Raw genomic sequence first — 14,017 nt, 5'->3', positions numbered from 1 at the left:
AACTATGTACAATATCAGTGATAACTATCACAAAATGGCCAAAAAGACACAAAAGAACGTATGTTATATCTTGGCATTCATATAATGTTTTAAATAAACCCAAATTACCTATAGTTTCAGAAGTCAGGACAGTGCTTATCCATGGCATGGGGTTAGAAGTGAGATGGGTACATGTGAGTAGCTTCTCTTTGTAATTTTCTGTTTCTTGATCAGGTTGTTTGTTCCACACCACGTGTGTGTGTTCAAATTTTGAAAATTTACAAGGTAAACTCATGATTTCTGCATTTGAAACAAGATGTATACTATTTCTTGATAAAAGTCAACCTTAAAAGCAAGCAAGCAAATGGAACAAGTATTAGTAAAGAGCACAAGCAAATCACTTATGTGGCTCATTCTAATCCCTCAGTAAGTGGCAGCTATTATTTTTAAACCTTTTTTTCTTCTTCCACTTCTCATCAATGTGTTAGAAAACACCTCCCTCTCTCTTCTTTGCTATTTTTCTTCAAGACAACAAGAAAGATTATTGTTAATAATTATTCGCTTATATTAAGAAAGTTCTGAAATCACAGTGTCTTAAGAATTTGGGCTCTAAATTTCTAAAATGATTTTAAGTGTTCATAAATCTCCTTTAGAATATCTGCAAAAGGTATCTACATCTTGCACTCCTCTAATTACATCCACTTTTCTTCAAGTACCAGTAATCAGTTTTTTTTAAGAAATATCATTTTGAATAAAGGTTATTGTTTTATCAACTTCCATTTCTAGTACCTACTAACAATATTTTCTATCATTTTGCTATATAGATCATGTTATATACCTAAATATGTTATATACATATATATGTATGCATGCATATATGCTATGTGTATATATGTGGTATTTCTAATACAGTTTAAACAGGCTTTTATCAGAACCAAAATTTCAAAATTATATTCACGGGAAAATACATTCTACATTCTAAGGTATTGACTGAAAAATGACCTGTATGAACTTTAAAGTAAAACTGTATATCCAAAAAAGTTTAATATGGACATAAAAAATGTAATTTAAAACTCTTCATAGTGATTTTACTTCTTGTACCCATTTCACCATATATCCATACATTTTTCTTAACAGCTATTCCATGAAGGACCAAGGCAGGCATTGTCAGCTATATTTTATATATGAAAAAACAGGCACAAAGCAATTGCCTCAAGTTCACGAAGTTTGTTTCAGACTCAAGGAAAAAAATAAAAAACACAAAGCCCAGGCTTTCTTTTTCTAATTAAGTTTGTTCTTTTTGTCCTCTGTACTCCATTCTCCCTCCTATACTCAACACAGTTTACTTATGCTGCTTTGTGTACTCCTTGTACTTAAAATAAGAAAGGCACATATAGATATTAAGAATACATAAGGAAGGTCCAAAGAATATAGGTGACTCTTGAAAACATGAATTTCGAAGTACAAATAGGATTAGGTTTAGCATTGGGTAGAGAGAAGTGCAATACAAATGGAGGAAGGTACCACCTGTCAAACAGGGTACATGCAGTTGTTAATAAGCAAATTCAACTACTTAGAAGAGAGTGACAGTGTTAAGAGGAGAGGAAAATAGACAAAAAATTGAAAACTATTGCAAAAAATTCAGTGCACACTGTAGCACAGTAATCCCTCCTTATCCAAGGGGATACATTCCAAGACTCCCAGTAGATGCCCAGAACCCCAAATCATATAGAATTTGACTTATAATAAATGTATTTTCCTATACATACATAACTATGATAAAGCCTAATTTATAAATTAGGCACAGTAAGTAATTAATAATACAATAGAACAGTTAAAACAATATACCATAATAAAAGTTATGAAAATATGTGTATTCACAGTCTCTTACATATTCTTTCTCAAAGTACTATAATATTCTTGGACCACGGTTGACTGAGAGTAAATAAAACTGCAGAAAACAAAATTGTGGGTAGGGGGACTAGTACATTTCTACCAAATGAGTCAGTATTAATTAATGAAACTCTCTAGAAGTCTGTTTGGACTTTAAGAGCATGTTTTTATTTCTTGTTTAGCTCAGGATTGAGAAAGAAGGTAGGCCTCCCTGGATGAGAAGCTAGTGTTAAAAATATACTTTAAACAAATAAAATTTAACAAAGTTTAATTGAGCAGAGGATGATTTGCAAATCAGGCAGCCCCCAGAACTATAATAGGTGTTCAGAGCAACTCCAGGACTGCCTCATGGTCAGATAAAATTTATGGACAAGGAAAGGGAAGTGGCATACAGAAAATAGAAGGGAGGTACAGAAACAGCTGAATTGATTACAGCTGGATATTGCCTTATTTGAACCTAGTTTGAACAGTTGACTAACTGTGGTTAATGGAACTTTGACCGCAGTAATTCGCTGAGACTCTGCTACTTGTTGCATGGTAGGTTACAGGTGGTTTACATGTCAAGTTATAGTTCATTATGTACAGAGGAACCTTTCAGCCAAACTTAAAATATATAACAAGTCAGCTTTAGGCCAAACCGACCCAAAGTTTAACAATCTTCCCTTTTGGTCAGCCTCTCAATTTTGAGAAATTGAACAAAACTTTAGGCATTCACATAACTCTGTCACCACTGTAAATAGACTTACGTGGTCTCAAATCCCACTAGAAAATAGCAATGGGTTTTGTAAGGTGTGAACAAAGAAACAGAACAATAGAAAAAAAATGCCTGGTTAACATCAAGTTACTTCAGTTTAGTTTTTTGTAAGGGTTAGAACTAAAGGGATCTTAATGTACCAGAATCTGTTGCCTTCAGAAGGGGTGGGGGGAAAAACTGGTTTTTGTATCTCTTTTTTTTTTTTTTTTTTTTGAGACGGAGTCTCGCTCTGTCGCCCAGGCTGGAGTGCAGTGGCGGGATCTCGGCTCACTGCAAGCTCCGCCTCCCGGGTTCACGCCATTCTCCTGCCTCAGCCTCCCAAGTAGCTGGGACTACAGGCGCCCGCCACTACGCCCGGCTAATTTTTTGTATTTTTAGTAGAGACGGGGTTTCACCGTTTTAGCTGGGATGGTCTCGATCTCCTGACCTCGTGATCCGCCCGCCTCGGCCTCCCAAAGTGCTGGGATTACAGGCGTGAGCCACCGCGGCCGGCCTGTATCTCTTTGCTTAAAGTTTTGTTTTGATTATATGGCATTTGGCCTGAGTGATTCTATTTTAGTTTGTTCTGGTCTGATGGGGCCTAGGGCAGGAGCTCAGTCAAAAACATTGCCCTCCCATAATTCTGCGTAGCAATTTCCCCTTTTTGATCAGGTTCTTACCTAAGTGAGAGTGTGACCAAACCTTAGGACATGAGTGCTACTCTTCTCAGTTACCATCATTTTTAGTTTTCTGGTTTAAATACGCCATTCATAGGTTATGTTGTCCTCATAATCATGCTTTTCTTTGAGATTTTCTATTCCAGTCAAAGAGGGTCCATTTAATGTTCTACAGATGGCTGCATGCAACTATTTAAAACTTTAGAGGCTGGGCGTGGTGGCTCATGCCTGTAATCCCAGCACTTTGGGAGACCAAGGTGGGTGGATCACCTGAGGTCAGGAGTTCAAGACCAGCCTGGCTAACATGGTAAAACCCCATCTCTACTAAAAATACAAAAAATTAGCCAAGCATGGTGGCAGGCACCTGTAATCCCAGCTACTCAGGAGGCTGAGGCAGGAGGATTGCTTGAACCTAGAAGGCAGAGGTTGCAGTGAGTTGAGATTGCACCGCTGCACCCCAGCCTGGGCAACAAGAGCGAAACTCCATCTCAACAAAAATAAAAAATAAAACTTTTGAGAGAAACTGTAAATCAGGGAGACTATTATAACTATCAGAAAGACAATACCACGAGTCTGAATTGTGCTTCTTCGCCGGGATTCCCATGAACGAACACAACTAAAATGCATTAAAGAATCAGCTGGAGGAATTCTATTCATTTTAAATAAGCATCTTGTCTGTTAATCCCTTGCAACTGAGTCTCTATAATACCCACTGTATTCATCCACGTGCAACAAGAAGTGTCAACAACTGCACAGATCCTTCGCTATTCTGCCAGTAGGTAAGCTAGGGTAATTCTATTATGTAGTGCAACTTTAGCAAGAGAATAAGTCTACTGTGCAACCAGAGCCTTTGTAGTAAAATCTGCTGTAGAGTTTATTTTGGGGAATAAATATCTAACCATTGCCACCATTGCCTTGTTTATATTCATTCCAGGCCATGAAAAAGCAGCCTTAACAAATGATGTTGATCCAGAAGGGTAAAGGCCTCTTGACAATGTTTTTTGTTTTTGTTTTTGTTTTGAGACACAATCTCCATCTGTCACCTAAGCTGGAGTGCAGTGGTGCGATCTTGGCTCACTGCAACCGCCACCTCCCAGGTTCAAGTGATTCTCCTGCCTCAGCCTCCCGAGTAGCTGGGATTACAGCCATGCATTTTTGTATTCTTAGTAGAGACAGGGTTTCACCATGTTGGCCAGGCTGGTCTCAAACTCCTGACTTCAAATGATCTGTCGCCTCGGCCTCCCAAAGTGCTTGGATTACAGGTGTGAACTACCATGACTGGCCAGCAATGTTCTTTTTAACTTACTTACAGTGTAGGTTAGGAGGATTGGATCAATATTCTGTTTCTGACTATGAAGCAACAAAGGAACTATTAAATTTTCTAGCCCACATTGGCCCTTTATCTTCCATTAATCAGGGTATAAGTTTGTCCATGTATAGGGTCGTCTGCAAAATTCTCCACAAATAAAAGTAAACCCCATGTATGCGTACAAAGACCCCTTTTCTGATTCCATTGTTTATGGATACATTACTTGGAATGGTGAAATTAGCAGTTTCTAGCCAAGGGTCTGAGGTAGAATTATTACAGGTTGAAAGAATACTGTAGTACCCTAGCACATAAGTCAGTTTGCAAGAAACTCCTCCTAGGCTTTTGGTGCAAACCTGTCTTGTGTTGGTCCCGGTCCTTGTATCCCATTACTGAGTTAAATTAAAAAAAGGAATGAGAAAATGTGGGTCTAGTTACCCCCTGTGTGAACTACGGGATCCATTAGGTCATGTAAAGTCTGTGTTTGGCATGACATATTAAATGCTCCGTAAAGTTACCCACAGAAGGTACTGATTGTGGAAATCTAATTACAGCATTATCCTGCTGAGCGAAAGAGGTATATATAAATAAGAAAAAGATAAGAGTTTCATGATGACAGAAAACTATTGACCCAGAATCCTGGGAAAGCTGTCCATGTCTAGGATACTGTCTGCTTCTGAGCAGAAACTTTCCTGGTGAGTTTTACCTTAGGATCCACATGGGTGTACCATGTCCAAGAGTATAAAGAGGTACTTTTGAGCTACAAAATGTGGACCCAAGGTTTGAGGTCCCAAAGTTTTGCTGCAGCGTTGGTGGCAAGGGCAGTCTTTCTTTCTCTGATGACACTTCCAGAAGACCTAATCTCTGGGTTTTAGACTGTAAAGAGTTTTATTGTCCTCAGCTGGTGGATCATGAAAAACTTCCTTTAGCTGGCAAAAATATACTTTGGTGTACAACCATAAAGCCATGCAGTATTTAGTCACACTAGAGTTTAGGAGAGCGGAGGTACATTAGGTTCTATTATTAGGAGCACAGGCCTTTCCAGTGACTATTTCATAAGGGGTCAACTTATATTTTCAATTGGAAGTAGAAATGACTGTCATCAATTTGCAATGCCTTTGATCAAGGCAATCCAGTGGATTCAATTAGTTTTGCTTAATGCTATTGTGTCTGTAATAACTTAGCTAACTGTTTTACAACTCATCCAGTGAAACAAGAACCTCTATCACTGGGGATTTCCCCAGGTATACCCCTGGAGAAAACACATTTTCTAATAACCTTTAGCTATGGTTATAGCATTGGTCTTCTTGCGTTAAAAAGCTTGTATACAACCAGAAAACACAGACTGAAAATGGCAATTGAATGAAAAATCCATCTAGAAATGTTCATATAGCCCATCAGGTAGCAGAAATGTACCCAAAGTTTTGATTATCTTTCCAGGATTATGGATTTGACAAATAAAACATTGATCATAAATCATTTTAGCAATTTTAGAAAAGTCTCCACACATTTTTTTTTCATTATTTCAATCATCTATTCCATGATGAGTCATGGAGTGTAGAGTTTTAATAATGGAGGTGTTAAGGAAGCAGGAAGGACTAGGCAGCTGTTCAGGCCCTCTGTGAGTACACATTTCATATTGAATTTATATCCTCTGAAATACCAATTTTGTTTCTCCAATTCCAGTGCATAGCACTGTTTATTAAATTAATTATTATAGGTAATTTGACTTGGATCAAGGAGATCATTCAAATTGCATATTTTAACATTTTCAGTACCGGCTGACTTAGCCAATGTATTTCCTCATAATTTAATTCTTCTCTGCTTGGGTTAGCAGTATTATGAACCAATTTTTTTTTCATTAGAGTTCTGAGGTTTTTTTATCCAGTCCAACAGTATAATCTTAAAGTTATCAGACATTTGTACTTTCAGAGTCCCTTCCATGAACCTCCTTGAAAGCACAACTCTTTAGGATTATAATAGCTTATAAAGAGCTTTCCAAAAAAGCATCAGATTAAGCAATTTACTGTGTACAAGTAGACTTAAAACAGTCATGGTTAAAGATGCGATTGACAAGGAAATTTGGTTATTCCTGTGGCCTGTAATAATTTTATATAATAGTAATAATTATGACTGATAATATACATCAAGACATATCAGAATTTTAGGAATCTCATACAAGTTTGGAACATGTATTAATAGCATATCCATAGAAACATAATTCAAAAAAAAGGTTAAACATTCTTTCCTGTTACAAGACAGTGCTACTTGTGTAATTTAACATATCAGATATGCCTTCATTTATTATCTTTGTTTATTTTATTTTCTCTTTTTTAGATGCTTCAGGGGCCCTCTGGGACATCCAAAGTTAGTTTGAGGTCAAAAAGACTTCATTTTGATTTTGAATTTTGATTTTGGAAAGTCAGTCAAATATGTCAGAGGTTTAAAATAATTGATCAAAATAGGATCACAGGCCATGATAATAATTCTTCATTTAGCCAAAATAATAACCAAAAGATTTGAGAAAGAAAAAACCTTCACTGTTTGATAGACACTCAATTTTCCAAATAATCAAAAGACCTAATAAAGACAGCAGAAAACACACAAAATCTTTTTCCCTTTCTCTCCCCTACCCCTTTTTTGTTTTTTGTAGTTCACTCAAAAGGTGAATGAAAGTCTTTTGCTCTCTTATTATTACTACAAAAAGATATTATTTAAAAGAGAAAACTGAATTTTAGTTTTATATTGGTATACTTTTGATATTAAGGCTCAATTTTGAAAACACTTATAATACATTCATTTAACCTGAGTCAGTTTAACCACACAAGATTTTCTTTTACATTTTAGCTTTCAATATTCATTTAGTTTTATCTCTATTTTTTAAATTTATTCCTTCATTTTAAAACAATATTTAAGTCATCTCTAAAATGGGAAATTTTTTTCTTTTAACAAAAATCACATTTTTATATCTTCTTTATAATCTTTCTTCCCAAAAATATATCTTGTTTTTCTTGTACCCTTTGCAGATGAAATTATTTATCTTATTTAGTAGTTTTAATCACACACATTAATGTAGTTTTAGTAGTTTTAATCACACACATTAATGTAGTAGTTTTACATTAATGTGTGTAGTTTTAATCACACACATTAATGCTAACCATATTAATATTGGAAATAAAAGGTCAGAGTCGCCAAGAGAACGAGCACTCAAACAGAGAACTTCTCAGCAAGGCAAAATGTACTTCTGCAGAAGGGTGCTGCTCATAGTTTTGGCTACTCCTAGAGCACCCCAAAGAAAAGAGAGGAGTTTTTATCCCTAATGCAGTCCCTACCTCTGTGTCACTCCCCACATGGGCTGGGGTCAGACCACACAATCTAAGCTGACCCGATTGGCTGTTTGTGAATATTTTCCCAAATAAGAAAGGGAAGGGGGATATAAGTTACAGGTCGAGGCTGGCGGGAAGAGTTGTTTACAAAGCAGTTAACTAAGCAGGTAACTAGGGGCAAGGAGGTACAAGGGAGTTGTTTTTAGGAACAAAGAACAAAGAAGTTGAACAAGCTAAACCTTTGAAGAGGAACTCACTGTACCTTGCAATTTCCCCCACCTTTGATTTTTATAATTCTTCCTTTTCAAATTTGTCTAACATATTTTGGCTTTGTTGTTCTTCTTGATTTTCTAAGAGTAACAGCTTATCTAAATATGGTGGGGGAGAATTGGAGAAGGTTTTAGTGAGAGCTGTTTCAATAAGTTTTTGCACCAATCCGCAGACACAGGGTATAATGCAGCACCCTACAAGAATAAGTACAGCTATTACAGTTGTAAGGGAGGTGAGGACTGAGGTCATGAGTGAGTCCCTTTCATTTGCCAAGCCATTTTCCCATTAAATTAGTGAAGAGGTTGTTTATTCTGTAATTTTCAGAATACCTTACCTAACTCATTGGCTAAGATAGTAAGACTTTGTAGAGCCTTTGTTATGGTTCCATAGGGGGTGGTGTTATTATGGATGAAAGTACAGCATTGGGTCCTAATTATGACATATACTGTACCTTTTTCAGCTAATATCATGTCAAGGGCTCTTCTATTTTCCCAGGCCATTTGGCTGGTAGGGCCTAATTGTTCAGCTATTCCTTTAATGGCATCTCTTATGTAATTGACAAATTGCTGTCAATTATAGTAAATGTAATTTATCCAATTTACATTTTTGTTTATAGTAGACCACCAGAATAATGCAGATTCAAATCCTGCAGCTACTTGATTTCGAGCTTTAAATTCATTTGGTACCCCTCATGGAACTCCGATGGCACCTATATAAATGCCAGGTTCAAAAGACCCATGAGGGGCACCTTCCATTTTTTGCAATTTTCCTTTCTGTTTGTTTGGTTGATGAAATGCCAGCGTAAAAGGAATGGCCAATTGGACTACAGTGCAAGTGCCGCTCCAGTTACTTGGCAGAGTACCCAACAGTGGTCCACCGCAATACCACCATACATCCGCCAGGGGATGAACAAGGGCAGACAGATTGGTTAGCTCCTGAAAAGGCTTGGACTCACTGCATCCCATTAGGCTTCCAAGGAATGCTAAATTTTCCCTTTGTCATGAGAGACACAAGGTAAAACTGACATTGCTAACCAGAGGCCGGAAGGCCCTTGGGGGCTGACCTACAGGGCCTTAAACTTCCAAGAATAGCAGCGAGAGAGTTCAGCATGCCTTACTGCCCCAAGCTGCAGGGTCTTGGAAGAGAGCTACCATACAACTCATACTCTGTTGGTTGGAGAACCATCCAAGTGGAAAGCGAACAATTTGGGTTTCTGGCCTGCCTGTGGCACAAGCGTAACAATAACTCTTATTTAGGGTGTGAACAGAATATTTAATCTATTCCAGCCAGGCATTTACATCTTGATACCCAGTTTCTATGGCTAGGGTTTCTTTTAAATCCTTAACTTCTACAATGTTTACTATAGTTTCGTCGTTGGGTATGTAAAGAACAGCTGTTTGATTGGAATAAGGTTTAGAAGGTGGAGGAAGGGAAGAGGGTGGAGGAGTAATGAAGTGCATTTCAAAGGATCCTATAGGGTCTATTCCAGGAACATCAGCTCCTATGCCATAGAAGCAACCTACAGTGGGGTTAGTGTTGGTAGAGGTGGTGACAGTAATAGAGATTTGCACAGGGTTACATTGTTGGAGTTGACAATTAGAGGGAGTTGTCTTTTTTGTAAAGTGGATGTAAGGGTTTAGGTTAGTGCAACCTCCTCCTGGGGAGGTCCAGCCTTGATACTTGATTGTTCAGACCACATCTCCCCAACCAAAACAGAACTTCCAATGACTGCCCTGTGCTCATTTGGTGCGGGAGTACTTTTCTGAAGAGGCTAGCTTTCTTTGGCTTTGGAATAAGATGTGAGACAGCTGGGGAGAAGAGGAAAAGGAGGAAGAAACAGATTAATATTTTCTTTTTAACATTACTCTGGTGGGAGTTGGCCCTGGGACAATGGTCCATGGCTTTGGAGAGGGCGATGCCTTTTTGACTCGCATATGATGCGTCCACCCCTTTTCAGCAGTTTGGACTGCAGTCTCAGTTGTGAGGAGCACCAGGTAAGGTCCTTCCCAGGAGGGCTCAAGCATTCCCTCTTTCCAGCTTTTGACAAGGACGTAATCTCCAGGTTGGCGCTGGTGAACTGGAAATTCGAGGGGTGGAGTCTGTGCTAGAAGACCTTGAGTCCTAAGGGAGGAAAAGGTGGAAGACAGACCAAATATATAGTTTTTAAGGAACTGATCTTTTGTTTCAAATGTAGGAAGGTTAGTAGTAGAATTTAACCCGTAGAACCATTGGTGGTTGTGTGGGATCCTACTTATAAGAGTGTAAGGATTGGGAACAACAGCATGGGTGGTTTGAACTATTTGATTAATAGCCCTTAGGTCTTGTACTAACCAATATGACCCATCTGGTTTCCTTACAGGCAATATGGGAGTGTTATAAGAGGACATACGGGGTTCAAGGAGTCCATCATGGACAAGTCTTTCAATTATAGGTTTTAAACCTATTCTAGCTTTTAAAGGAGTAGGTTTTGGTTTTCTTTTTACTACTTCCCCAGGAGTTTTTAATTTGACATGGATTAGAAGAGCCAGTAGCTTTCCTCGATTGCCTTCCCTTGACCAGATACTAGGATGGATATACTCTTCATCTAAGTAGTGAGTAAGTTTAGGGAGTTGAGAACTTTTCTCTGGTTAACATAGGGGCCTAAACCTAATTCTAGCATTAAATCTCTTCCTAGTAAGTTAGTTCCTGCCTCTGGTATTAACAAAAATTTTATGTTAGCTGATTTATTTTTGTATATGACTTTTGTTTCCTCTATAATTTTTGCTTTAAATTGTTCTCCCTTCACTCCTGAAATAAAGAGTTCTTCTTGTGAACAAATTACACCAGGTGGGGAATGACAAACAGAGGAGTGAGCCGCCCCTGAGTCGATTAAAAAAAAGTAATAAGCTTGGAGTTGGGTCCCACCTCTAAATTTATCAAAAGCTCTTGGTGGGATTCAAGATAGAAAAGACAGAGCCCCCTATTCTTCCTCAAAAGCCGTAAGTGGGATGACTTCCTTGTCTTTTTCCCACTTAGGGCATTCTCTTTTAAAGTGACCTGTTTTTCCACATTTGAAATATTTGTTTTGCCCTTTTCCTCTTTTTATTTCCTGGCCTTCCGTCTTGATTCCTTTGCCTCCTGTGTAGGGTCTGACAGCCAGGTATTTGGAAGGCTTACAGGTTCTATCTCCCTGGGCTCCCTGTTGAAGAGTCCCCTGTTGTAGGGTGGACAGCATAATTTTTGCCTTTTGCTTCTGCCTTTCCTCATCCCTTCGTACATATACCTTTTGGGCCTCTCTTAAAAGTTCCTCTATGGGACGGTCTTTCCAATTTTCTATCTTCTGTAATTTCCTTGTAATATCTGGCCAACTATTGGTGACAAAGTGGAGTTTTAACATCTCTTGTCCCAGGGATTCTTCTAATTCTGGGCCAGCATACTTTCTCATTTGCTCTTTAAGCCTACCTAAGTACCCCATAGGTCCTTTATCCTTTCTCCACTTTATATTAAAGGCTTTGGTAATATTCTGGGTGTGGGGCACCAATTCTCTAATTCCTTTAATTATCATTTCCCTTAGGTCTCTTTATTTCCTCACTGGACTATCGGAGGGAATTTTATTGTCTCTCTTGTACTTTTTATTTTCTGCCTTGCTTGAGATATTTCCCATCCTGAAAGTTTTAGGTGTTTCCCTGAGTTTTCTGGGTCTGTAGGGCTCAACCTCTCTACTAGAGATTTCTTGCACCCTTTGCCCTGGAGGCTCTGTGGGGCTGAACCTCTCCTACTAGAGATTTCTTGCACCCTTTCCCTGCAGGCTTAACTCCTCCACCCCCTCTCTGCCAGTGGAGGTTTCCAGCACTACCCTGCTTTCACTTCATACTCAATTGTGCATCTCATTCACACATATTCAACCACCAGGATGTCCTGACCACCAAGGAAGTACTTCACTGCCCCTGTGGTTTTTCTTACCTTGGTTTATGCACAAAGTTACCTGGTCATTGTGGTATCTGTAGGCCTTTTCATCCTGCATTGCTGAGAGTCCGGGTTTATTTGTCAAACTCGGTGGGTCTCAATTCCTTACCCCCAAGGCTGCCACAGTGAGGCAGCGGAACGTGTCTCCTCATGAGAGGGGATCCCGGAGGAGAATGGGATCCCAGACGAAGCCCTAGGTTGTTGGAAATAAGAGGTTAGAGTCACCAAGAGAACAAGCACTCAAACAGAGAATTTCTCAGCAAGGCAAAGTTTACTTCTGCAGATGGGTGCTGCTCATAGTTTTGGCTACTCCTAGAGCACCCCAAAGAAAAGAGGGAAGGGGTTTTTATCCCCAAAGCAGTCCCTACCTGTGTGTCACTCCCCCCATGGGCTGGGGTCAGACTGCACAATCTAAGCTGACCCAAATGGCTATTTGTGAATATTTTCCCAAATAAGGAAGGAAAGGGGGATGTGAGTTACAGGTCAGGACTGGTAGGAAGAGTTGTTTACAAACCAGGTAACTAAGCTGGTAACTAGGGACGAGGAGGTACAAGGGAGTTCTTTATAGGAACAAAGAACAAGAAAGTTGAACAAATTAAACCTTTGAAGAGGAACTCACTGTAACTTACATTAATAACAATTTAACTCTTAGTAACCTTAATTTCCAGTGAAAATCCTAGGAAGTGAGCAATTTGATCTGTTTTATATCAGTATTTATAGGTGAAAACCATGTTATAATTTTTAGAAAGTCATGTTTCCTCAATTTTTTGTTTCTTAACATATGCAAATATATTTTGCTTCTGTATACTATATAAAAGCAAGATGTTGGAATATATAAACAACTTATGTTTAATAATTCATGTGTCAGGATTTTAACTTGCTTAGAAATTATTCATATATTTAATGAGTATCTATTATTTAATTTAACATTACTTAAAGATTTTAAATTGCTGAAAGAGTTTTGAAACTCTAAGTTCAATGGTAATTTTAATGCCATTTGCCTTTACCTACATTATTAGTTCTTAACAATTATGCTTGGATTGGTTATTTTTAAAAAGCTGACTATTGAAGAAGTTTAGAAAATACTACACTAAAATATGTCACTTTGGTATATTATTGCTACCAATAGTTAAACAAAGCAAGGCTTTTTGAATTCCCCTTGTCTATTTTCCAAAGGAACTTAATTGTCCTTAATATTTTCCTTAGGTGTTCCAGGAACCATGGAAGATTAACTTTTATCACAGGAAAGGAGACTTCACATTCAGACAAACCTTGACACAAACCATTACCCATTCTTCCAAGGGTCCATTCATCTTTCCTAAAAACTATTTACTAGCTCGGCCTAAATACCATCATTTGCCAAAACCAAGGAAGGGAGGGTTTAGGTAAAGGCCTGGTTAAGATAAGATGGCCAGAAAAAGCACTTTAAACAATGTTTGTCTTGTTACAGAAATTTATGCCTTTTTCATTGTAAGTGTTTCCAGTGACTCAGTCCTCCTTCTGTTCCCAGTGCACAGAAGCAGACATCCTTACAAATGGAAATTTCTATTGTAAATGAAAATTTATTTTACAAAAGCACCTCAAAATAACCAGCTAAGTGCCAGAAAGGCGTATTTTAGAAACTGATTTTAGTTCCATAGGTGGTCTTTTTAACTTAGCTTCTGTTTCTTAGCTAAAATTACTCAGTTTAGGGTGGAGCCCATTAAGAAAAAAGGCAAAGAAAACATTGTCTATGCCTGGACTCAACACCAATAGCTCTGAGAAGGAAGCAAGCCTATGTATTTACCTGAGGTCCCATTATGTATAAACTTTTATTCAACTTGCTTTTTGCCTTTAGGACAGGATAGTAACTAAACCAACAGGTTAACACAGTCAAATTTTTAAAATC

General features: G+C 38.2%; 2 long non-coding RNA genes across 2 annotated transcripts in view; one reads left to right on the top strand and one right to left on the bottom strand.

Annotated features, from left to right (window-relative positions):
- Positions 1-14,017, top strand: part of LINC01470 (long intergenic non-protein coding RNA 1470) — a 353,385-nt gene that overhangs the window by 239,573 nt on the left and 99,795 nt on the right. The gene's annotated exons all lie outside the window — the stretch shown is intronic.
- Positions 4,132-12,416, bottom strand: LOC124901117 (uncharacterized). The gene is made up of 2 exons (XR_007059009.1): positions 12,149-12,416; positions 4,132-10,305 (listed from the first exon to the last, which is right to left on the bottom strand). It is a non-coding gene; the product is annotated as an uncharacterized LOC124901117 (long non-coding RNA).

Source organism: Homo sapiens, chromosome 5 (assembly GCF_000001405.40).
Source record: "Homo sapiens chromosome 5, GRCh38.p14 Primary Assembly".
In the NCBI taxonomy this organism is placed as follows: Eukaryota; Metazoa; Chordata; class Mammalia; order Primates; family Hominidae; genus Homo; species Homo sapiens.
The sequence above is the reverse complement of the archived record's forward strand: the minus strand, read 5'-3'. Positions and strand labels throughout refer to the sequence as shown.